The sequence below is a fragment of the Homo sapiens genome, chromosome 1 (genome assembly GCF_000001405.40).
Source record: "Homo sapiens chromosome 1, GRCh38.p14 Primary Assembly".
Taxonomy (NCBI): Eukaryota; Metazoa; Chordata; class Mammalia; order Primates; family Hominidae; genus Homo; species Homo sapiens.
Genome location: NC_000001.11, coordinates 202,554,594 through 202,580,431, shown reverse-complemented (window position 1 = coordinate 202,580,431; position 25,838 = coordinate 202,554,594). Strand labels below are relative to the sequence as shown.

The 25,838-nt window shown below is 40.7% G+C and overlaps 1 protein-coding gene across 17 annotated transcripts in view, besides 2 other annotated features; it reads right to left on the bottom strand.

Annotated features, from left to right (window-relative positions):
- Positions 1–25,838, bottom strand: part of PPP1R12B (protein phosphatase 1 regulatory subunit 12B) — a 244,004-nt gene that overhangs the window by 12,271 nt on the left and 205,895 nt on the right. For 5 of the 17 annotated variants that reach the window (NM_001410283.1, NM_032104.3, XM_017001342.2 and 2 more), the window contains 6 exons: positions 21,539–21,555; positions 17,510–17,654; positions 15,885–15,989; positions 12,601–12,654; positions 11,235–11,285; positions 5,250–5,430 (listed from right to left, as the gene is read on the bottom strand). In NM_001410283.1, the coding sequence (NP_001397212.1) occupies positions 5,296–5,430; positions 11,235–11,285; positions 12,601–12,654; positions 15,885–15,989; positions 17,510–17,654; positions 21,539–21,555 (507 nt within the window). In that variant the 3' untranslated portion in view covers positions 5,250–5,295. Of the gene's footprint in view, positions 1–5,249; positions 5,431–11,234; positions 11,286–12,600; positions 12,655–15,884; positions 15,990–17,509; positions 17,655–21,538; positions 21,556–25,838 lie in introns of those variants that run through there. The other 12 variants (NM_001331029.2, NM_002481.4, NM_032103.3 and 9 more) reach the window with 5 other exon arrangements.
- Positions 8,377–8,671: a silencer, noted in NCBI's record as "tiled region #13308; HepG2 Repressive non-DNase unmatched - State 13:Ctcf, and K562 Repressive DNase matched - State 12:CtcfO". NCBI's record gives its function as "represses a minimal TATA promoter and a strong SV40 promoter by Sharpr-MPRA in HepG2 and K562 cells {active_cell/tissue: HepG2 | K562}" and the evidence as "EXISTENCE:reporter gene assay evidence [ECO:0000049][PMID:27701403]".
- Positions 12,088–12,760: an enhancer, noted in NCBI's record as "OCT4-NANOG-H3K27ac-H3K4me1 hESC enhancer chr1:202536800-202537472 (GRCh37/hg19 assembly coordinates)". NCBI's record gives its function as "activates a minimal SCP1, AML or CMV promoter by ChIP-STARR-seq in naive H9 embryonic stem cells {active_cell/tissue: H9 hESC(naive)}" and the evidence as "EXISTENCE:reporter gene assay evidence [ECO:0000049][PMID:30033119]".

The following is a 25,838-nucleotide window of genomic DNA, read 5'->3' as shown; positions in this document are numbered from 1 at the left end:
ATCCTCCTTGGCCCTCCCTGACCAGGCCAGGCCAGCCTGGTGAGCAGGGCCTTTTGAGACAATGTGTGGAATAAACTCTCATGGTCCCTTCTCCCAGGGATGAAATTCCCTTCAATCTTCCTTTTTATTGAGTTGGTAATGTTAATCTTTAGGGAGATTATAGCCACTCCATCTTTTGAGCTGGCATATTTAGCAGTAATATCTTATTTCTTCATAGGCAGACCTCACATTTCACACTGTATATCCTTTCATTCTACTGAATCAGTAACCACTTTCAATTTCTCCTGCCCTTAAACTCACCCCTAAAGAAATTGGGGAGAGAGCCAAAATGGGCTGGTGAGGACATAGGGAAAGAATTCAGAAAGGGGGTGGTGGTCAACTAGAAGAGTTAAAGGAGGATACTGCTTCACATCTCATCAAAAACAAGAGCAAAGGCCAGAGAGGCAGTACTCGGCTTTCTTGCCATATGCACAAGATGATTTAAGCATCCTCCACTTGGTGCCTTCGGTGAATAATCCTCCAAATTCTCACTGGTCATACTATACATATCCACTTTCAACAATTAAAACTCAGAAAACTTACACTCACAGAGCTGTGAGGCACAGTGAACACTAGGCATGTATTTAATCCTCCCCAAAGCTCCCCACTGACAGTCACCAAAGGATACCCAGAGGCCTCATCAGCAGTTTTAGGGGATGGCATTGTAATTCACAGAAATAGATGCTTGTTGGGCAGGGGAGGGAGTGGAAACTCAATTTTATTAGTTCTGCTATCCTGGAACATTACACATACTGTTGTCTAACTTGTGAAAAAAAGGAAAAATAGCCTCAAGTTCCATCCTGGAAGTTCAAGTCTTTGTTACATGATCAGGCACTTTCAACAAGTACGCTGTGCATCTGAAAAATCCTAATGGGATGTTGATAAGGGTACAGTTTATGTGTGGGTCCCACTGGCAGCAAGAGCGATTTAGGATAGCAGGTAAGTACATCGCCACTATGCAGGCTACAGAAAGCTACATCTGTATCTGTTCAATACAGGTGTCCTTTGACTAGTCATTTCAACCTATAGGACCCCAGGGGCAGGTAATGCCCCCAGTAAAGGGTGACCTGTGCTGAGGTGTTATGAGGCCTATTTAGTTCTAGCTCTGGCTCTGCTATTAACCACTTAGGAGATCTAACTGTGCCTTAAGGAATATAATCTGTTTCCTTGATCTCTCAGAGAAGATATAGGTTAAATTATATAAATATATGTGTATGTACACAAATATGAATCACAGATACATAAATAATTTGTATCAGGGAAATAAAAAGAAAATTACTGAATATCTATAATGTGGATGGCACTGTGCTAGAGGGTCTCCCTAGTGCCTCATGAGACTATGATACAGTTGTTATCCCGATTTCTACAAATGGGGAAATGAAAAGTGCCATAACTAGTTCAAGGCACCCAGCAAAGCTAATATTGAATCCCAGTGTGCCTGACTCCAAAGATCATTCTTTTATTACACGTGGGATGGAAAACAAAACACCAAAAATGTTTGACGCCTAGAAACTGAAATTCCAGCATTGTCTTTGTCACTAGTGATCTATTACTTTAGGCAGATCACTCGCCTTCTCTGCATTTCCATTTTTGTACTTTCGTAAGAACAACAGTCCCTGTCCTACTCTCTCGTATGGTAGGGACTCTGCAAGGCTCACAGGAGGTAACAGATGTGGAAGTGTGTTGACATACATAATGAGCTTTGCGATACTGAGTGTTCCTACAATCACTGTGAGTTTTCTCATGACTGTGGGAGGGCAGGCAAATAATCTGCAAACTTTATTAAGAAGACTTAATCCAGAAAATATAAAAATAAAGTTGCAGTCCTTTGACCCTGGTCTCCTACCTCTGATTTAATCAAAGCAGCTCTGGCTGCCCTCTCCTTCGTTCCTCTATCCCTGTAGCCTTGCCTACCAGACTGAATGCTTGGAAACTCATTTCAATGAGATTTTTAGAAAAAACCCAGGGTGGCCTCATGTTTCCGTGTTCAATCTGCTCTTTAACGCCCCATGCTGGGGCTGCAGCTTGGGTATAAGTGAGACGAAAGCCACATTTCCATAATAGGTAGGAAGAAGCTATATATGGCAATGGATTACATTTCACTGCTTAGCAGCTCATCAAATCAGAACTAAGCTGCCTTAAAAAATGTATAAACAACTTGTAGAGTCTTGTAGAGTTTTAGTGATTTATTTCCACATTAAGAAGTCAATTCCTTGAAAAAAAAATTTGGACAAGGCAGTTTTGCAGCTGCAACATGCTACAATTGACATCTAAAGGGAGTGGCAAAAAGTGTTAAGAGGTGGAATGTAGAAATCAAGGGGCGGGGGAAGCCCCACAAAGTTCAATCTCAGCAGAGAGAGGGGGAAATGAACAGTGTTATCTGATATCCACTTGAAGTTAAAGAATGGTTAAATAAGAACATATGTGAAAGTACGATATAAGTATGAAGTTTAGCAAAGCTTTATCATTTTAACTCTCTGGATCTTAGTTTCTTAATTTTTAAGTTCCCAGCTTACCACAATTTGGTGTTAAAGATACCCTGGGCAAATAAAATTAAGTACACATTTCTCAACTGTTACTTCTTACAGTCTTTGAGGAATGTGTTAAAGAGGAAGGGGCTACAGGGGTCCTAAAGCTTCAGAGACCTAGAGCAAGGCTAGCTGTAGGTTGAGAGGGACTCAGGATGAGTCTTGCATGAGCTGTCTTGCTTTTAACTACAAGGAAAGTGGGAAGGGAGTCCCCTCTGGTATTTTGTTGGTAAGTGGTTTGCTCTACATGCTGAGATAAGATGATTTTTCCAGGGAACTATTAAAAAAAAAAAAAGGTAGAGTAAAATCTCTCGACTGCACTGCCAGTTTGGCTTAGTTATCTCATCCTTCCTTCTGGCAAGAATCGGCAAGCTTTTTCTGTAAAATGCCAGACAATAAGTATCTTAGGGTTTGCAGGTCAAACAGTCTCTGTTGCTACTCCTCAGCTCTGCTGTTGTAGCACAAAAGCACCCATAGACATAACAATAATATGTAAACAAATGAGTTTGGTTCAGTTCCAATAAAACTTTTATTTTGGACATTGAAATTTAAATTCCATATAATGTTCGTGTTCATATGTCGTAAAATATTATTCTTCTTTTGATTTCTTTTTTGACTATTTGTATGGCTTATGGGCCATACTGGTGGTGGGTCACAGTTTGCTAACCCTTGCTATGGTCATGTACCAGGCAATGGCTTTCTTTACAGCAGCAAAATCTTTTGGTAGGTAAATGGCTCTTTAGAAGTTAGGCTTTGACAAGGAAGTCACAGTGCTCAGAAAGCAGAATGCTGCCCTTCCTCCCTCAGCTGCAATGCTGGGGGCACAGTGTAGTTGCTCAATAGATCCTTCTTGCATTGTTTGGGCCACATGCTTAACAAATGGTGAAAACTGTGCCAAATATGCAGACAGCTTATATTACAGTGGTGAAAAGTTTGCACTCTGGAACCTGACATATTTGGTTTGAATTTTGGTTCTACCACTTACTCTCGGAGTGACCTTGGGCAAGTTATTTAATCTGTGACTCAGTTTTTTTTTTTTCATTTTTACAATAATTGTTTTGGGGAATAAATGAGAAAAACTATATAAAGCATTCAGCACAGGCCTTAAATAAATGACAACTGTTAAGGTTATTAACTACTGAAAGCATGAGATCTAGTTTTGCCCCATATCCTATACTATCTTGCAACAAAGGGATACTAAAAATAACTGGGACACCTTTTGGGGGGTCCCTAGTTTAGCCTAAGTAAAAATTTCCAGGAATCTTGAGGCTAACTTTAAAGCATGGAGTCTGGACCTAACAGTGGCTGCTTACAGCCAGGCCATGGTAGAACTTGCCTTTCAATTTTCTTTCTGCCTATGATAGCATCTACAGCAGGATATTAGCTCAGCCCTATGATAATTCGGGTGATTCAGTTCTAGTGGATATTAGTTGCCAGCTACTAACCCTGAAGGCAAAAGCAAATAGGCTGAAAGAAAGAACAGGCTCTGGTCAGGACTAATTAGATTGTTGCTGACAATTAAAAATTCATCTCAGAGGAGTGGTGACCCCATCATACCATCTTGAGATAGAAAAACCAGTTGTCTGTGAGCTTGTCTTTCAGATCCATAGCTAGGGAAAGGATCCAGTTTGCCAAGCACATTTTTGGTTCTCAGTTGAAAATAAATCCTTGCTCTCTGCTCCACTGCCTGCCATATCCTTTGCAAAGCTGGCCTCATTAGAGAGGGCCTGGCTCCATGAGGGTCTCATTTATATAGGCTGTGTTCTGCCTCACAGCCCACACACTAAGGACAGGGAGGGGCACATCCCTAGGGCCCAAAGATTTGTGACGGGAATGAGAGATATGCCTCCTAAGGTGGGAGAAGAAAGCAAAGACTACTGCAGAAGGAGGCAAAGAATGCTTATCCAATTATGCTTGAATAATGGGATGCAGAGTGTTTTTGCTGGTAGTGGAGCTGGACAGGAACAGTTCCAACCTTGAGTTTTAGTCCTCTCCATCGGTAATGTTGTCAGCCGTGAGGACTGTCTGGTATCCAAAGGGCTGTGGTTCTTAACCATGGTTGTATAAGGAATCAATAGGAGAGGTTTGAAAAAATACTGATGCCTGGGTCTCAACCCAGACCACTGATTATTTGGGGATGGACCCAGACATCCCTATATGTATATGTTAAAAGCTATGTATATGTTTAAAATATACCCATAGGTATACGTTAAAAGCTCCTAGATGTTTCTTGCAGCCAAGATTGAGAGCCCCTGCCCTTGGTTACCCAAGGCCCAACCCCAGTTGCTCCAGGGGAGTGGGTTGGACTTGGGTTGCTATTGGCTAAGAAAGATCAATTTCCATCTGGCAATGACCCCGTCAATGAAATATGTATATGTGCATGTACACAGGTATATGCACATACACGTGTATACCTATGTGTAGCTGAGTGAACAAATTCATACTCAGTCTCCAGGGGAAGAGAAGCTAATGTGGTGACCTTACCAAATGAATATATTGGTAGCCCAGCTGAGGTCTCTCTCACTGCCTCCCTTGACCTAGGCTGGTATGTCCCATTCTATGATCTCAGTCCTGGCTGCTTCCATCTGCAGATAACCAAGCTTTGCAGGAACCTGCATATGGAGGCTCGGATGGAGGGGATGAGCACAGAGCTTCTGGGACTAACAAGAAGACTGAACCTGCCTGGAGTAGTGGAGGAGGGAAGTGAGTTGGAGAGTAGGGGCAAGAACTAGAGCTCCTGGGTGTCCGAGGACTCGATGGACTCCGAGAGTCTGGCCACCACTCGGGTCAGGGCCCTGTTCTCAGCCTGCAGTTGCTCGTTCATCTGCTTCAAGGTTTGAATCTGTTTTAGCTGGTGGAGGTTCTGTAGAGATTGAGACATGAAAAGGACAGACAGAAAAGACAGAGAGAGACAAGACAGACCAGAGGAGAGAAAAGTAGGACAAAGAAATCACATGACTTTTTGTTTTTGTTTTTAGTTTGCATGCAAGAAAGGAAATGAGAAAGGCAGGAGTCATGGAGCAAATGGGTGGCAGGTGGAAGGATGATGGAGAAAAGCAACAGGGAAGGAGAGCTATGTCTGATTCTTGGCTAAGATCTAAATATGCCATATGAATATAACTGCCAGGCTCTCAAAAGGCACATATGGATTGCTTTTGAGAATGAAAGTCCAGCATGTGGTTTGGAGCCTTCTGAACCAAATTAACATGGTTGAGGCATAACTTCAGGGACCCTTCATCATGACTGAGATTAGAGCTGAGGACTTGGTGTGTTCTTAAATCTAGCTGCTGCCCCTTTCTCTCTCCCTTCCTCTAATCTTCCCCTCATACTCAGCTCCCTTCTTTCACTTTGTTTATTTATCTGAGATAGGGTCCGACTCTGTCACCTTGGCTGGAGTGCAGTGGCACAAAACTGAAACATCTGCCTCCCAGGCTTAAGCCATCTTCCCACCTCAGCCTCCTAAAGTAGCTGGGACTACAGGCATGCACCACCATACCTGGATAATTTTTATATTTTTTGTAGAGACAGGATTTCGCTATGTAGCCCAAGCTGGTCTCAAATTCCTGAGGTCAAGCAATCCTCCTGCCTTAGCCTCCCAAAGTGCTGGGATTACAGGTGTGGGCCACTGCATTTGGCCTCATTTATTTTTAAAAAATAAAAGAGAGGCCTATTATTTAAGCTTTTTTTTTTTTTTTTTGTGGGGCATGTACTGTTTAGAAGGTTAAAGTTACACATACCAAAATAAGAAAGAACTGTCAGCTCTCTGGATCGTCCTCTAACCTGCTTTGTAGGAAGCTTCATTAACCCTGATAGTTTTCCTCTGCAGTCCAGAGAGATTGTTTCAGGATCCAAAAACTGCTAACCTGTCTCTGACCTGCTATAAGATTATATGCATCACTAAATTCACAGCTAATCATGCTTTCTTTGTCTCAGTTCAAGCAGTTTGGGAGCTGCTTAAAGGTGTTCATAAACAGACTCATACTCTGGAAATTATAGCTGTGCAAAAAAGCTGGAGAAACCATAAAAGCCCAATGATAATGAAACTAGCTGGACCAATGTGCTAGTCCAGCCCTTTCTGCCTGTCAGTGTTGCAAGCGGAACAGAATAACCAGCCCACAGACATTCTTCCTGATACCCCATATTCCATAAGACATTTAAAGACTTTAATAATTGGAATTATATCAAAGGCCTGCCGACTCTGCTACTGTCCTTCCTAAGTAGTCATCTGCACTGCCCCGAAACTGAGACCATCAACTCTTTGGGAGGAGAATAATGATTTTTTTATGCAAATGGGGTTTCACAGATGAGGATGGACAATCCTGTGGGTTATAATGACTACAAAAAGGTGGCCAGGTATCAGAGAAAAGTCTCTCATATCTATAAGATGAGAAGGATAGAAATGAAAGATTAGTGGAGTTATAGTTGTTTGGGAGTGAAGAAGCAAGAAAATGAAAGGTAGCATGAAGGGGAAAAACAGTGAAAAGGAAAAACAAGCAGAGACAAACTGCTGAATCTCTTTAACCAAAGAGAAAGAATGACCACCTTGGAATAAAGGTAGGCTAGCCAAACTGTCTCATGTAGCCATTGGAGGGTGAGGACCGGGCAATCTTCCTTGCCCACTGTAAGCATCTTGGCCATGGTGAGGATAGAGGAGGGAGATCATGGTACAGCATATGGAAAAGATTAAAGCAATGGGCAGGGACCAAATTTAAAAGCCAATGGAAAGTCCCTGGCTCTCACCCTTCTTTGGTGTTGACATTGGACCAAAGCTTTCAACATAATCATTATCAAATAATTGTCATTGTATGAAGTGGTACTTACCTCCCAGGGAATAACATTAAAGACATGAATGATGAAAGTGACTCAATCTGACAAGTGAGTATAAGCAGATCAAGGTGAAAGAATTTGGAAGTTATCAGCATGAGGGAGAGAGGCAGGAAACAATCTGGTCAATGTTCTATAGGAAGCAGTATTGAAAACAAGGCAAGGCAAGGAGGAGAGGAGAAGGGGCAGGGCCCAGCGCAGGATGGGCAAGGGCAGGGCTAAGGAGCAGGGTCAGCTAGTAATCTTTCCAAAGAAAAATAAAAATTCCAGGACCAATCTAAAAAGGAATTGGTTGCTGGGTCCCTCTCATGCAAGGACCTAGGAAAGGAAGGGGAGAAGGTCTGACAAGGAGGCTGATGCTGAGTGGAGGATGCAGTAGAGAAGTAATCACATCTGATGTGGGCGCCAAGACCAGGTGCAGGCCTGGCACAGCTCACACTGACATGCACACCTGTCAGAAGTTGGCATATAATCCTACTCCAATCTAGGATCTGGGTGGAGTTTCTCTTGAGGAGAATTCATAAATACTTACCTTTCCAATAAAAGTCCAGAAAGGCACAACACATCTCATAACCACAGAGCCACATATACATCTGGGTTAGCCCATCTCATGGTTCCCCCATTTCACCTGGCCTTTGTACTTTATTTGGTAGAGTTAGAAAAATAGGACTGAAGTCACTTTCTTTCCTTGAGTAACCTACTATATTTTTAAGGGTTCACTGGAGATCAGCCCCCTCTACTGTTCCCTACTGATTGCTCCAAGGAGGTTTGAGCATCTGTACAAAATGAATATGCAACAAGCATGACCAACTGGCCCCAAGCTCTACTGGGTCCCAGTTCAGCCAGACAGTCACCTGTACCTTTGGCTGCCTAGTACAGAGAGATTTTAGCTATTAATCACTCTAGCAATGTTGGTCACCATAAACCATAGTCTGAATGAAGAGCTTGAGAGCTAAACAAGTATTTTCTTAGACTCTTTTAGGGCCAGTCATACCAATTTTATCATATTTATATATTTGCATCTTTGAAGTTTTTGTCTTCAAGTAGGTACAGACAGAAAAATAAAACTGGTGAGAATGCAGAGGCACAGATGCTTCTCCCTTAGTCCTCTAGGGGGTGCTGGACGATCTGCAAACCTGGCATTGGGCTTTGATTTGAGCAAATAGTGTTTAGGGGCTTTAGAGTTTACAGGCATTTCTTCTTCATTTGGCTTTGTAATGGATAATGGAGAATAATGGACACCTGACTGAATCTGAATGTTTTAACTAAAAAAAAAATCAGTCCTGGCCAGACGCGATGGCTCACACCTGTAATCACAGCACTTTGGGAGGCCGAGGTGGGTGGATCCCCTGAGCTCAGGAGTTCGAGACCACCTGGTGCAACATGGTGAAACCCTGTCTCTACTAAAAATACAAAAAAATTAACTGGGTGTGGTGGCACACACTACTAGTCCCAGCTCCTTGGAGGCTGAGGCAGGAGAATCGCTTGAGCGATTGAATCTGCCTAGAGGCAAAGGTTGCAGTAAGCCGACATTGTGCCACTGCACTCAGGCTTGGGCTACAGAGTGAGGCTCCGTCTCAAAGAGAAAAAAAAAACAAAAAACAGCCTCACAACAGCTTACCTATTGGTTTAGGGACTAAACATTCATGATCTGGCTCCACTTGATAATTTACAATTGATTTTAGAGTTGCTGGCAAATGGCTTATGGCTGGGGAGAGCAAACACTTTCGTATCTTATAATCTCTTGAGGAAAGGAAAGAACTCATGATCTAGTTTAGGAAATCATAGACTGATAGCATAAAGAGACAGAGAAAAAATGTAAGCCTATCTCAACCTACAGAATTGAGGGCAACTAGAACCACTGAAGGGGCTTCCATAATTCCAAATTTAGAATTGGAATAAAAATAACAAAGGGCCTCAATTTCTCTAATTTGACCACTTTCTGGGTTTTTGTGTGTGGGCCTGCTTTGATGTGACACAGAGCCCCATGACTGGTGAGTGGAGGCTGGCTTTGGGCTCCCAGGTACTCCTTGAAAGGTTCTAGCTTTTGCCTCAATTACATGCTCTAGATCAGCATTTAGGACATTTCTTAATAAGGAACACTGACAGCTGCCTAACAGCAGAGTACAGATGGTATAACTCAGGAGGTTTCAAAAATGGAGGAGCCTCCATGCAACAAGGAGCTGTGGATATGCACTCATCAAGAAACAGTTAGCTCAGCTGGGTGTGGCGGCACGTGCCTGTAGTCCCAGCTATTCGGGAGGATGAGATGGGAGGATTATTTGAGCCCAGGAGTTCAAGTCCAGGGCAACATAGCGAGACTCCATCTCTTAAAAATTAAAAAAGAACTGGTTATCTCTAATAACTCACTGCTCTAAGCGGGAGAGAATACTTCTGTGTGGTAGTAAGGTGCGTTTGAAAAAAATCACAAGATGCAGAAGTTTAGGTGCTAGGGCATACTGTTCTACCATCTCATGAGAATCAATTATTTATTATTTCTATTTCTTGCTGCTTGAATCAACTTGGAAGATTTAAAATGTTTGAGATATAAGCAGGTATTGCTTAAAATTCTATGTGAATGTTACAGTTACAGCCTTGGGATAGTGGTAGGAAATGCAAGGGCAAGGCTCAGCATTTCTCCTTCATTCTGGAATTATAGAGTAACAGGATTGATTATGAGCACCAGATCTGGTGTAAACTATAACCTCAACAGGTCTTAAAAAGTTTTTTTTTTTTCAATAAATAACCAATCTATTTAGGCCACTGGAACAATAAATGTCTCTCCCAAACTGCATATTAGGGATGCTTGCTCATAGAAAGACATTTGGGGATCTGCCTAATACTATCCCAGTGCTTTGGCTTCCCAGTTGAATAACCCTGTCTCACCAAATGAATGCTTGGCATCATGTATCTGGTAAAATAAGATGCCTGAAGAAAGAAAAAAGCTGAGTAGGTGCTAAGTGATTATGGGCATGTGTCATCATGCATTGCAGGAATCAGATGTTTCAAAATAATCTCCAGGTGGCTACCCTGACCAGCTCTATATTCCCTGCAGCTCTGTATCCATCTTGCCCCTTTCACCCTCCTCCCCTCCCCCTGCCCCACTGCCTCCCATGGCAGCAAATTGACTGCTTTGGGTAGATTTCCAGTTCTTAGCACTCAAAACTGCCCAGGATGGCAGCTGTCCATTAAAGTGGCTAATGGAGGTGATGGTCACTGCAGGTCATGGTGAGGAGAGAAAGGAAAGTAGTGAGCTGTGAAGTGTATCTGGTGGCATGAGCTTATTCTAGTGGGAGAGTGCCAAGCATCCCTGAATATTTCAGAGTTAATGTACTGGGGCAGGAAATCAATATGTGAATACATTTTTATTTTGCTGCAGAATGATTCAATCTGTGTTCTTGCCAGCAAAGGGATGGGTTGGGAGGGGCACCAGGGAAGAAAGCTTATGGCCATGCTCAGGCTTCCCCAGGCACCCAATGGGAGGCTCCCAGAGCTGGAAAACTTGTTCTAGCCTTCTCATTTACCCTCTAGAGGGCAAAGATACTGCTTGAAAAGCCTTAAAAGTTAAACTCAAGTTTGTTTCAAGCCTGCCAAGACCTCTCCTTAAACCAAAGGCAGTATTTTTTCCTAGAATGCCTTTAAGGTGTCCTCAATGGATGTTGTGTGAGCTGAGAGAGCCTAGGAAATGGCTGAGGAGAGATGCTCACTTTTTTACACATCATTTCTTCTTGCAGATATTGAGTTTGTAGTGAAATCTGGAGGGGGCAGGCCTATGCTCAAATATCCAGTCTTGGCAGGCATTCAGAGAACAGGCATACAAAAAGAAAGAAAATCTCTTCATACCTTCATTTCTTCCTCCATTTCTGACATTTTGCGCTCCAAGGCTCGCCTCTCCTGTTTCGGAACAATGAGACTGTTGAACATTATTGAATTCAGAAGGGAGTAAAAATGCTGCCTCCCAGCTGCTGTGTGATCAGCAGATTCACGGTCAAAGGTTTGTCTGCTGACTCAGGCAAACCTTACTCAGGAGATCTGAGCACTATCTGATCCTGCCACTTGTAAGATGGAGCTACCTCACTGATAAAAATCACATTATCTAAATCTCCTATCATAAAATCAGTAGATATATGGAGAAGCAACTTGCTAATATGCAAACAGAAGAAGACATTCAGTTACTCTGTGCAGGTTGAAGATTTCATAGAATTTCAAATGTCTGCAAGTGACTAGGGCCCTTGCTCTCTATTATCAAAAAGGCATCATTATCTTCAGTAATGCTCTCCCTAAATTCCTAGGAAACTGCTTCTCTCATGATGAGGAGCAGATGGTGAGCCGGGAAGTAGACATCATTGTCTAAGAAACAGCATCTCTCCCCCTAGTTTCTTCCCTCCCCCTGTAGTTGCTTCTCTCCCGTTCCATTTCTCTTTCCCAGCAACTGACTCTTGGTTTAGCCTAAACCCAATGAGGAGTTTTTGATCAGATGGGATACCAAGGAAGTTTGGTTACAGGCCAAAGGAATAAAATGTAAAACTTAGCTGCTTTCCAAATTAAACAGACAACAACAGGACAGATGGGAACATATTATATCTCCAGGGCCAAATCAAAGCTAGGGTCCATCAATAAATCTAATTGAATTTTCCCAATCCAAGAATGTAAAATCCCAGAATAATATTCTGAGTACAGTTGGGAGGAGATCAGCAATTGAACCAGAAATCCTCCCCTCAGTCAAAATAAGTGAAAGACTGTGTTGGCTCATGTTTCAAGTCGTAAGACCTAAATGGCAGAGGGTCCCACTGAAAGCTTCCTTTCTGTTCAAGGTTATGAAAACGGTAAAGAGACCTTGGATGTGTGTGTGTGTGTGTGTGTGTGTGTGTATGCAATGATTTACAGTAAACCAAAATGTTATGGGTTGTGTGTGTATGCAGTTCTGCCCACAGTCAGAACAATGTACGAGATGACCTTCCAAGGACCCTTCCCACCCTAAGACTAAATATGTGGAAAGTACTGACCATCTGAGGAAATCAAAAGGACTAGCAATCAAATTACTGCCTAGAGTCAGACAAAAAGAATTTATCATCAAGCTGGGAATGGAATGTGGCAGAACTCCCTCCTTCTTAAGATGGACTTTTTCCATTGGCATGAATAACAAAGTGGGAGAGAGTCAGAAAGAAGAGATGAAATGGGGTGGAGGGGGAAACAGACATGCGCATACCCGTTTCTCCATCTCCAGCACTGATGATCGGTCAGAGGTCTTTTCTTGTTTCTGCTGGTGCAAATGGAAGGAAAACAGTTGTTATTTAAGTTGTCTAAGGGCCAGTAGAACGCCCAGTCTAGTTCAGCTTCACTACTAGACATCTAGAAATAAACAGTAAAACTTTGGACTTCCCCTATAGCAGGGATCCCCAGCAAACAGGTTCTGATAGATCTCTAAGCCTAACATTATCACCTCTCTGAAGTTTGCAGGATTCCCTCTGGGGAGGGGAAGGCAGTAGTAGTATTCCCTGAAATTACAAAGAAATTACTTACAACACACAATCTCTCTCTCTCTCTCTCTCTCCACAGGTCTTCAATGCTAATTACAATTTTACATCTCACCATTCTTCTCCTCTCTTCATTCTATGAGTAATATCACAACCCAGAGGAAATAACAAAAAAAAAAAAAAGGCTTTTCTTTAAAAGGCTGGCAACTCCTGAGCGAGAATGTCTAAGGCCAATGGCACTTGTCTAAATAATCCCCTTTCCCCTATTCTTTCTGTTTTGGGAATTGATACCATTTTTCTTTTAGAGCAGCAGTTTTCATATGTGGGTGGGCTTTAAGGGGTTCTTAGGAGTCCATTCATGGCATCTGCCCTGCTTTGAACAGAGGTAGTCCACTTTCATCTGTCTTATATATTGGGCTTCCAGATAAGGTAATTTTATTTGAATAAAAGATTTAGAATGTTTATTTTAGATCATCTTTGACTTAAATTTTGCAGAGGGGCTGAAAAGACTTAGCCTCACGGCAAAAAAAACAGAATAACCTCAGATAATGGCCCTTCCTTAAAAGGGGAATAAAAAACCCTTAAGTCCCTTTTGGCCTTAGGGTCATAGAACTCAGCAGAATTTCTTACATTCAGTAGACATTTAATAACTGCTGGGTGATTATTTTTATTTTGCTTAGTGTCATGCAGAGACAACATTTAAATAAATATAGAAATTATGCTGGTCTTCTTGCAGCAGTTTCTTTTTTTAAAAAAAAAATTAAGGAATGGCCAGAACTAACAATAAAACTCAGAATTCTGGCTCCTGTCCTGGGCTTTCACCTTCTGTTTGGAAGGGCATGGCTGTCTGCCTTTATGCTGCATCTACTATGAAGCAGAAGGAAGAGAAAAAAACGCAAAAATAGATCCTACAGCTTGTTAATATCCTCGTAAGTCTTTCTTTCCTAAGCCTGAGGAGCTGTAGAAGTTGTGATGATTTCATGATTTTCAAGGTTTATATACACAAAGAACTAGTTTTTTGTTTGTTCTGTTTTTAATGTTGACTCCCTTAGAGTTGGGGTGGATCTTTTATGTAAAAATATTGTGTATGTTCATGTGGTAACTGTCTCCATACAAATGTGTGAGGCTGAGAAGCCCTCCCTCCACTGTCCTGCCAAACAACTCCATTTTTGGTAAATGGCAGAGACTTGGTTTGTAGCAGCACCATTTCTTATGAATTTCAATAACTTGTATTTGGCAAAACTAAGTATATTTTGACACACCCAGCAAAGCAGTGGGCCAGAGAGTAAATGCTTTTCCCCAGCAACTGGAAAGGCTGATTTTATTTTCAGTGCCCTCTGTGCAAGTCAATGTCAGCAGCTTGTTAGACTGCTCACTGTTCTAAGGCATGGGCTGGTGGAAATGCTGAGAACCCCTAAAGGTCAAGACATATGCTGTCAGAAGCTTCCGCTGAGAAGAGTGGGGAGCAGGTGAAACTGCTCTTCCTGTGGTTCCTCACATGACTGCTCTTTAATTTTCTGTAAAACAATCCTAGTAATAACTGACAAGAACCAGCATAAGATCTGTATTTATAAACCACTGCCAATATGTGGCGCCATTCAGAATAAAAATTAGCCCCAGATTTCTTTTGAGGGTCTACTGTGAATGAGACTTTTTTTTTTTTTTGCCTGGCTCAATAATGTTGGAGTGAGATTTATTCAGTCCACCCCGCTGCCTTATGGCAGGGCTATAGCTATGTGTGTATTTTTCTCTTTTAGATTTAGAAACCTACTTTTCTTATTCCACAAAATCACTTTAAGCCTAGTTATTATCTATTTGTGTTGCAGTAAGTCTCAGAAATTTCCAGTAGAGCCATGTTGGGCTACTATAATCAGGAAAAAGGGGGTGGCTCTTCTAAACTGACAGGCAGTTCACATTTTACACCTGGGTAAGCCCTTCTCCAGAAAGTGAGTGTCCTGGCTGTCTTGCTGGAGTCCTACGCAGCTCTGTGGGGCTGTCTTCCAAGTGTTGGCACCCTCCTGCTCATGCAATTCCAGAGGGGTTAGAATAGGATGTTTAGAGGGTAATCAACACCCCTGCCCTCCAAACTCCATGTATTTGGTACTGTACAACCCTAGCATTTTAGTCTTTGCTTTTGGATAGCCAGTCATATTGCCAGAATGACTAGCCACCTCTGGTTTTCATTTCAAGCCTTCCTGCTAAAGAATCATTTTTACTTCAGTTCAGCTTTCGAAATTCTAAGTCCCCAGGCATTCTAGGAGGGAAATAACTCAATAGGTTTCCTGATAACTCAGCAATAACCAAAAGCAGTGCTTGCTTTAGCTTTCAGCTGCGGAGTTTGTTTCACTGGTGACAAGGTTATTACCTCCAGCATCCTCTAAAGCATCATCTAATTAAATCAAACCTGGCAGTGAGAGGAAATAGTTTATCAGTCTTTCTGCCACTAATATTCCTTATTTGTAGGCTGAAAAAGAGTGGTGGCTTGGGGAGATAACATATGCTACAGAATCTTTGCTTTGGGACTTAACCCTATGTTGTGGCACCACCTTTGCCCTTGATTTGTTATATGGCCTAAGCAAACCACTTACTTCTCTAGGCTTAATTTGTTATCTCTCTGCCCTAGGTTTAATAGGGTCTTGCTTATCTCTCTCCAAGAGGTGAAGTGTAGATAAACTGAACTGAAACATAATGAACAGGACAAGAGGAACTGTCTAGGACTAGCTTTGTAGTGCTGGTTTATGCTTTTCTACTAATAAATAAGTAGATGATGAGCCATAGTATTAATTATTAGCATTCAGACCATCAGGAATTGTTCACTGAATTATCAGTTTTCCTTTTTAAGTTAAACACTGATTGAAACCTAAAATAAATTAGAATCTAAGAAGCTTCTATCTCATTGCCCCGAGAAGGCCTGATCTTGACTCTATCTTACTTCCTGTCCCTTAGATCCCTAGTCTAGTTTGCTTCCTTACATCAACCCTTGGTTCTCATCTTTTTTCTTCTTCTTCCGTCTTACCTGGGCCACCTTCTCAAGCTTGGACTTTATATCTGCTAGCTCTAGCTGGGCTTCCTGAAGTTTTGTTTTCAGTTTTTGGTTTTCAGTCAGAGCACTCTCATAGAGCTAGAGGAGAGGGAAAAAAGAGGATCAGCGTTCGCGTTAGAACTCACACCATTTCATCACATGAGAATGCCCAGGGCTCTGTGCCCCAAGCCACCACTATATGGTAGAGAGAGAAAATGAAGGAAGGGTAGGGAGCAGAGTACATTCAGCCAACTGGTCTCTTGCTTTTTCAAAGTGATGAACAGAAAGAGAATGATGATGCTCCAACTTCAATAATGTTAATCTCTGGGGGAAAAACAGTCATTACTATGGGACATTTTCATTGCTTAAAAGAGCAATGAAAAAGACAATTTTTTTTTGGAACCAGTCTACTGTGTATATTGATTTTAGTCAAGTTCTGCTTAACAAAACATTAACAGAACAAGCACTCTTTATTCCCTTTGGAGACAGGGTCTTGCTCTGTTACCCAGGCTGGAGTGTAGTAGCATGATCACCCCTCACTGCAGCCTTGAACTCCCAGGCTCAAGCAATCCTCCTAACTTAGTAGCTGGGACTACAGGCATGAGCCACCATGCCCAGCTAATTTTTCAATTTTTTGTGGAGATGGGGGTCTCACTATATTGCCCAGGCTGGTCTGGAACTCCTGGGCTCAAGTGATCATCCTGCCTCACCCTCCCAACGTGCTGGGATTACAGGCATGAACCACCATGCCCATCCTAAATATTTTCTTTACAAAAATAGTTTTTCCTGGTATCGCAAACACCTGAAAGGGAAGGTTTTTAAGTCTACTCTTGGAGTTAGGTACTATTCTACAAGAAAAAAGGAAATAAACTGTAAAGTGATGATGATTTTCTTTTCTTTTTTTTTTTTTTTTTTACTAACACCAAGTAGTATTTAGTTGATATTCACAGGACCTTATTAGAAGCACATGTTTGTTAAAAATAACAGTCTACCAAATGATTCTCAGGGGCTCAGAGAGACAGCATTAGGTTTTTCACCCTTTTTATATTCTTAATTTCTTACTTTTCCCTACACTTCTAAATACCTGATTCTAACTATACACTTACTGCACTAAAAGCAACATATGGCTGGGCATGGTGGCTCACGTCTGTAATCCCAGCACTTTGGGAGGCTGAGGTGGGAAGATTGCTTGTGGCCAGGAATTCAAGACCAGCCTGGGCAATATAGTGAGATCCAATCTCCATAAAAAATAAAAAATGTAGCCGTGTGTGGTGGTGCATGGCTATAGTTCTAGCTATGTGGGAGGCTGTGGCAGGAGGACCCTATGAACCCAGGAGTTTGAGAGGGAAGTTACCTATGATTGCACCACTGCGCTTTAGCCTGGGTAACAATGAGACCTTGTCTCAAAAAACAAAACAAAACACCTCAATATCTGAAGGGGTCTTTATCTAGTTTTTTGGAGAGGTGAAGTAAACCCAGAAAACTGCAAGGAATTATTATTACTTAAGTGCCTTTTCTTCTGCTTATTCAGAGCTATGGTAATTTTTCTGGGTGTGGTGGAGGAAGGCTGAGAGGTTTACATGTCACCAAAGAACCGGAAAATTGAATAAAGACCCTACTTTTTTATAATCTCTGTTGCTGTCTTCTTCTACACGGCTGGTCAGGGTGGCTAGGCGGGCCTCCCGGGCCTCCCGACGGGCTCTTGCTGAAGCCCGGTCACCGTAAGAATCACTGGTTGTAGGATTACTACCTCCCGATTCCAACCTGTGGGAGATAATATTAAAGATAAAAATTGGTTTTGAGAACAAAGTAGTGGGGAGAAGGTAATGCTCAGGGGTAGTTTGCGCCTTTTCTAAGAAGTATTTCGGAGCCCTGGCCAGAAACAACTCATAACATTCTTTCCTTCAATCTCTCTGCCAGCGTTCCCAGACCTCAGGGCTAAACTGCACGAGCTTGGAGAGGGAGGCTGACCATCATTTGCCAAGAATGAAGCTTATTGAAAAATTAGTGGTTTGGACCTATGAGCTGACTTAAATCTTAAGAGCTTTTCATATTAGTTTAGGATTGAACAGCTTCCCTCAAAAGTGTGCTTTTAAAAGTAAAGATTTCTTGAATTTCAATGGCTCTTGGAAAAATGATTACAATGAACTGTCAATGAATCAGAAACATGTGGACTTAGAGATCTGAGCTGGAGGTTGAATAGGAATGAAATGGCCACTAGGGCATGCTACGTATGCCTTTTAGGTGCTCTACAGGTTTGCTGGAATCCCAAACATTTTAGGGATACCAACACAGTGCCCAAATAGCTAGTTTTCTACCATCTTATCCATATTCCACATCAAGACTGCTGTGCCTGTGATTAGAATTTTGACATATTTTAGCAACTGAGCTCTTAGAGTTGATAGTGGTTTTATTTCCAGTATTGGTAAGTTCATTAAGGGAAGGATCTCTCAGCTGATTACCTGTTTAAGTGTACAACTATCACCCTAAATCCTTAACGCTGGTTTATATTTTTCTCAGACTTTGCTCTTTCCAAATTAAAAGGCAGCACATATGAAACTGAAATCAGCCCTGCAGAGTGCTACATCCTGAACTGGGATGGTTTGAAGAGTCACAACTGTGAAAATTGCATCTGATGTATCTGTCCTGTGGTAGCTATTTGCCATAGCTGGGGGTGGGGAAGCTGAAATAAGTATTAGAAGAGATAGAGAAGCAATAAGGATGACACAGAGAAGGCAGAGGCAAAGTAATTAGCTCCTAATGACAATGGTGGCCTCTTTTCACTCACAGAGATGCTAAGTCCCACATTCTTCAAAACATTCTTTTTCTTCTTCTTTTGTTAATAGAAATCTCTTTATTGAGTTTCCTGATTATAAAAGCAATATATGGTTGTAGAAAAAGTTCATACTGAAGTATCTAAAGTAGAAAGTGAAAGGGTCACCCCATAATCCTGCCTAAGAAATAACTACTTTTAACTGTTTAGTTCATATCCTTGCAGAATGTCAAGCATATATGTTAAAATACATAGTTCTATAAATAAATTCAGATAACATACACTATTGTCTAACTCCTCCTCCTCTCTATACTTACCACTATGACCGTGGACATCTTGCCATCTAAGTAAAAATAGATTTGCCTCACTAAAAAAAAAAAAAAGACTGCAGTCTTCTCCATTACATGCCTGTAAGATAATTTAACTAATCTTCTATGATAGACACTTAAATTTTTCAAATTTTTTAGCTATTATAAACAATGCTAAAATGAGCAGACTTATCTATAAACCTTAGTGCCTTTGTCCAGTTACCTTCTTATGAAATATTTCTTATGACAGAAATATGTATCTGTCATTAATTTTAATATTTTAAAATCATTATGAACAATCAATATCTTTGGTTATTTTTCTTTTTTTTTGTTTCTGAATTGCCAATTCATAGCCTTTGTTCAGTAGGGTAATCATCTTTTTCTTATTGTAGTAGGGGAACCTCCTGTAGAGTAGGGCTTTTATTTTTTTTATTTTTATTTTTTTATTATTATACTTTAAGTTTTAGGGTACATGTGCACAATGTGCAGGTTAGTTACATATGTATACATGTGACATGCTGGTGCACTGCACCCACTAACTCGTCATCGGGCTTTTAAAACTAATATAGGCAGCAAATATTTTTTCCCACTTCACTTTCTGTCTCTGTTTATAGTGTCTTACTTAGAGATTTTAAATTTTATATAATTAAATTTGATGATTTTTATCTTTATGGTATTGTCAGAGACATTTGAACCACAGCAACTCCATCTTGAATAGGGGCTGGGTAAAATGAGGCTGAGACCTACTGGGCTGCATTCCCAGACGGTTAAGGCGTTTTAAGTCACTGAATGAGATAGGAGGCTGGCACAAGATACAGGTCATAAAGACCTTGCTGATAAAGCAGGTGGCAGTGAAGAAGCTGGCTAAAACCCACAAAACCAAGATGGCCGTGAGAGTGTCCTCTGGTCATCCTCACTGCTACACTCCCACCAACACCATAACAGCTTACAAATGCCATGGCAAAGTCAGGAAGTTACAACATATGGTCTAAAAAGGGCAGGCATGAATAATCCACCCCTTGTTTAGCATATAAACAAGAAATAACCATAAAAACGGGCAACCAGCTGCTCTGTCTATGGAGTAGCTATTCTTTTATTCCTTTACTTTCCTAATAAACTTGCTTTCACTTAATGGACTCTCCCTGAATTCTTTCTTGCGTGAGATCCAAGAACCCTCTCTTGGGGTCTGAATCAGGACCCCTTTCCGGTAATGGTATCACACTTGGAAAGGCTTTTCCTATATAAAGATTATAAAATATTCTCTTCTGCTAACTTTTATGGTAAAACACTTTTCTCTTACAAATTGTAAGCCAACTGAAATCCATTTGTTTCTCGGTATGGCTGAAGGGAAGGATATAATTGCTCAAACAGATAATCAACTGTCCTAATGATCACTTACTGAATAATTATTTCCTCACTGAGATGAAGTCACCTTATACATGTGATTTTTGGGGGGCTATGGATTGTGTTCCATAGGTCTCTTTGTTTATTCTTGAGCTAGTGCTTCACTGTTTTAATTGGTACAGTTTCATAGCATATTTTGAAGTCTGTGGGAAAAAGTTTCCTTTCACAAATGGCTATTATAATACGAGAGAGTTCACAAAAGATTACGGCAAAATACCACTCTCCAACAATTTTGCAAAACTAAGTAATTTTCTGCTAGGTTAGAAGTAAATGATTTGTCCTCAGCTGCTGCCTGGTGAGAGGGCAAGCAGAAGAAGAACATTAGAATATATTAATAAGACAGAACCAGCTCAATACCAAACAAATTATAAGGAAACTCATTTGGCCTATAGTCCCATAACTATATCTTCTCCCAATCTCTTAATTTCTCCATCAGAGTAACAGTAGAAAAAGAAAGATTCCAACTTTTGGCTCTATAGTCTATTATTTTTTATTTAGTTTCTTCTTTCAGAAGATTAGTTTTGTACCCTTAGATACTAGGTGAAAAACTGCAGAGGGTCATTCCCCCAATTTTGATATCCTTCTTTAATTTTTCAGCAATTGCAAAACAGGTCTTTAGTTTGTTCATTCAACAAACTACTAAGGAGCATCATCTAGGTATAAGGTATTTTGTTGGATCCACTATTAAATAACAGTATCTAACCTCAATCTGAACCATCAGATTAGATTAATTGCTCTTCTCTGTGCTCAGAATACCTGTCTGTACTTCTAATGGGCACTTACTATGTTCTGTTGAAATGATCTGTCTCTCTACTGGCTTGTTAGCTAATTGAAGGTAAGGATACTGTCTTATTCATGTTGTTTCCCTAATACCGAGCATGGTGCCTGGTACGCTGGTGCTTTAAAAAAAATTAATCTAGTGGAAGTCTACAAGGTGAACTGGAAAGAGGAGAATCTGGAAGCAGGAAGGTAAATTGAAAAGCTTGTTCCATTGCTTTGGGCAGGAGGTAATAAAAGTCTGAATTATTGTGGTGGCTGTGGAAATGAAAAGGATGGAAAGGATGTGAGAAACATTACTGAATTATTATATAAAGCTAAGTTTAATTCGACATGCATTCACTCACAAGTATTAAGCATGCATATATAACAGGGAGAGTTCTTACCTAGAAAGTCTTTCATGCTAGAGAAAGGAGACAAAAACAAAAACAAAAAAAGAAAAAAGAAAAGAAAACAGCATTAGCAAGAGACTGATTTGTATTATTTCCATCTATAAATGCACTTTTCAAATCAGATGGCTGAACTTCACAGCTGGAGATGGGGGTGCCATTTAAGAAAAGCAATCAAATTGACTACACAAAGGTGACTTAGCCCTAGTTCACACTTCTTTGCATGCCATGATTCACTAGATTTGAGGCATTAGGGATAGCACCTTTTTAAACTAGAAGTTAGCAAAATGTAAAATGATCAAAAACTGCCCCCAACTCCCCACCCAACTAACTAGCCAAGCTTGTGTTCTAGGAGTGACTATCACTGACTTTCTATGTGACATTTGGCCTCTCTGGATCTCAACATTCATTCTATTAATTTCCTTTGTTCACAAACTCCCAAACTTGCCCTGAGTGAATACTGCAACTACAAATATTAAAACTCAGGAGACTTCCTCAGTTTCTCCTAGGTTGCTAGTGAAAGTAGAAGAGTAAGGGAGAGGGGAGAAACTCCCATCCTTGTCCCTAGGATGCTGGTTAGAAAAAAAAAAAAAGTAGGTACTCTGAGGTCTCAAAAGAAAGGAGTTTTATAGATACAACCAGTAAGCTTGGTCATTGTAAACAAATCACACAACAAAAAGTGCTTATGTCTGTGTTTGACATTTACTTTTTACTGTAGATGACCTTTACCCTCCTATCCCTTTTTTTTTTTTTAAAGAACTCTGGCAAATAAAAATTCAATTGATTTAAATGCACTTAATTATTTCCCTTTCTGAAGTGTTAAAGAACAACAAAATCTTCAAGACAGACAAGAGGAGGAAGAGAAGCAAAGGTCCAATAATCTACAAAATGGATAATGAATCCTTGAACTTCTGAGGAGTCACTCAATGACACTGCTTTGCATTAAACAGTCCCTGGAAGCCACTGGTTTGTCAAACAACATAGCAGGACAACCCAACACACCACACCCTACAGCTGTCCAGGAGAGGTATACAGTGACAGCACATATGACTAAAGAGGACTGAATAGAGTCACCTTGATAAACGATGACATTTCCTCATAGAATCTCTCTTTAAATCAGGGGTTATACTCATCAGAATAATCCTGCACACTTTTGCAAAATGTACATGTCCTAACCTCAATACTGGAGATGCTGTTTCAGTAGGTCTAGAATGCAGCCTTCCTATATGTATTTTTAAAAAGTACCCCAGGTGATTCTGCTGTACAGCCCTGGTTAAATACCGCTGGACTAAACGAAGGTTTTTGAACATGGAGACATGCCCCCATTTGAGGTGGGGGAATCATTAGGACTCATTAAGAAAAGTATATGGTATATTCTCATACATTGAGTTGAGAATCCTGAAAGTTGGAAATCTAAAATTCAGGACAATTCCAGGCATTTTTCCTGTCCCACATTTATATATCTAATCTCTAGTGGCATTCATATGTATACCCCACACTATCATTGCCTACTTTCTCAACTTTACCTTAAGTTTTTTTTTCTTGATATCTTTTTTCAAAAAAGAAACTAAATTTTAATCACCTCTCAAGAACTAACACATATATAGGGCTGGGCACAGTGGCTCACACCTGTAATCCCAGCACTCTGGAGGCAGGAGAATCACTTGAGCCCAGGAGTTCAAGACCAGTCTGGGCAACATGGCAGACCCCATCTCTACAAAATAATTTTTAAGAAGTTAGCTGGGCATGGTGGTGGGCACCTGTGATCCATGCTACATGGAAAGCCGAGGCAGGAGGATCACTTGAGCACAAGAGGTCGAGGCTGCAGTGAGCTGTGTTTGTGCCACTGCACTTCAGCCTGGGTGACAGAGTGAGGCCTTGTCTCAAAACAAAACAAACAAACAAAAAGTATCCAAGTGAAGCTGAGATCCTGGGCTATGGGCTATGTCACTCATTAGCTTTGTGAGAAGACCTAGCATCTGGGTGAATTAAAATTCACGTCCAGGAAAACTATTTATTGTGACATGTCAAATACTTGTGAATAATTGAGCCTGAACTCCATACCAGCAAATGTAAAGCATCTATTGTATTTAACAGCCCACTGTGTGCAGAGCCCTGTAGAGGAGGCACTGAGGAAGAAGCAGAACAAGTTGCACGACAGAACCAGGAGAGCACTGTGAACATAATTAACAAGTTCGCCTGAAGCAATGTAGGGAAAACATGAGAATACGTGCTATGGAGATAACAGTGGTAACCCATTGGCTCCAACTAAGAAAACCTCCTAAAAGATAGGAGTTTTGGGAAGATCATATTAGAGAAACACACACAAACACACATTTTTTTTTCTGATAACAAAGATCCAGAAGAGATACATACATTTTTTAAAAAAACATATTGTTATGGAGGGAACGTTTCCCTAAAATTCCATCTTATTCCTAATTATATTTTTAGTACCTACAGGGCCAGAACACAATAGGTGTTCAATAAACACTAACTGAATTGAATTGTTAATGCTCTGAGAAGTGTGATGGCCTTGGCTAGACCTGATTTCTAATTTCTGCTCTGACATCTAGCAATGTGACCTTGGCAAGTTACCACTTATTCTAACAGTAAGAATTAACTGTGATAACTACAAGGAAGTGAACTCTTAAAATGTCAGCTTCCCTGCCACCATTCCTCTGCTTTCATTTTTTAAATTGTAAGAATATCGTATTAGGCCAGGTGCAGTGGTTCACGCCTGTAATACCAGCAGCTTGGGAGGCTGAGGCAGGTGGATCACTTGAGGTCAGGAGTTCGAGACCAACCTGGCCAACGTGGCAAAACCCCATCTCCACTAAAAATACAAAAATTAGCTGGGTATGGTGGCACATGCTTGTAGTCCCAGCTACTTGGGAAGCTTAGGCAGGAGAATTGCTTAAGCCCAGGAGGTAGAGGTTGCAGTGAGCTGAGATAGCGTCACTGCACTCCAGCCTGGGAGACAGAGTGAGACTCTGTCTCAAAAAAAAAAAAAAAGAATATTATATTGGCTATTGATGCTGGTTAGAGTACCAAGTTAAAACTTCGTACCTTTGGTTCAAGGAATTGAATTCACATGTAACCAAATGAAACAATAATTTAGAAGACCATTTAGTTTCTCTCAGTGCTTCTGAGTAGAACAGCCTTCAAACTATACCCTTCATATGGGGGTAGCATTCTTGACACTCTTTCCAAAGATGTACTTTCCACATCGTCTTAGGTATGGAAAAATGACCTGTTTACAATCAAACTGGTCCCTTGGGCCTTTTCCTCCTCCTATTGAACTAGGAGCTCATTTCTCCATGGTGTGCAGACTGAGGCCTAACTTTCTGACAATTAAATCATGCTTTTTTGCTGCTGACTTTTTCTTGAAATGTGAAACCTCACTTGAATTTTTTTTTTTTTTTTTTTTAGTTTCTTCTTTGTAAATATCCTATTTGTTGGGTAAGATTTTACTATATCTTTAGTTTTAAATTCTGCTGTGTAGACTCTGGCAGCTGCCTCTATGGTGACGAAACAAGCTTTTTTTTTTTTTTTTTTTTTTTTTTTTCATTAAAACAGGAAAATTAGGGTTTTACCAAGCATCAATCTTAGCCATTATCTATAAATCAAAGCATGCTAATAATTTCCATTGCTTTACTTTTTAAATGACATTAACCCTTTTCATTTAGAATGTTCTAGAAGCACAATTAAGCCAAGAAAGTTTTCAGATATATGGCTGTATAGTATGGCTGTTTATACTGTATGACCTTCACTGAGGAGGTTGACATAAAATACAAACACTTAAAAATTGAAAAACACAAAAAATAGGTTAGCACTATCAAGCAGCAATCAGAAAAAGCCCACAGGGTTCCTGGACATGAAAAGGCAGATTCCATAGGGTTTTCGAGAGGCCTAGATTAATTTTTCCACAAATGAGAGCATGTGGAGGAAGGTAATGATAATGGTGCTCACACTTGTGATTCCCATACCAGTTTTTGTCCCTATAGGCTTACTGTAGGAGGTGTTCCCTACAGCCACCTAGGAAGTTGATGACCTACGCTCTTACTTCTGCTTGCCAGGAGTAACTGAAAGCAAACACCACAGTCTGTTGTTTATTAGCTTTTAAAGGCTTGTTAACATTCCTTGTTAACAATTTCTTTTTGGGTAGCCTTTTATAAAATGCGTAGGTGATGAGTGATCCAGCAGACAAGGCGGTAGACAATTTTCCTAGATCCAGATATTAGAGAAAATAGAGCTTGCAAGTTAATCCTTGATCTTTCCTTGCTATCTCTAATTCCCT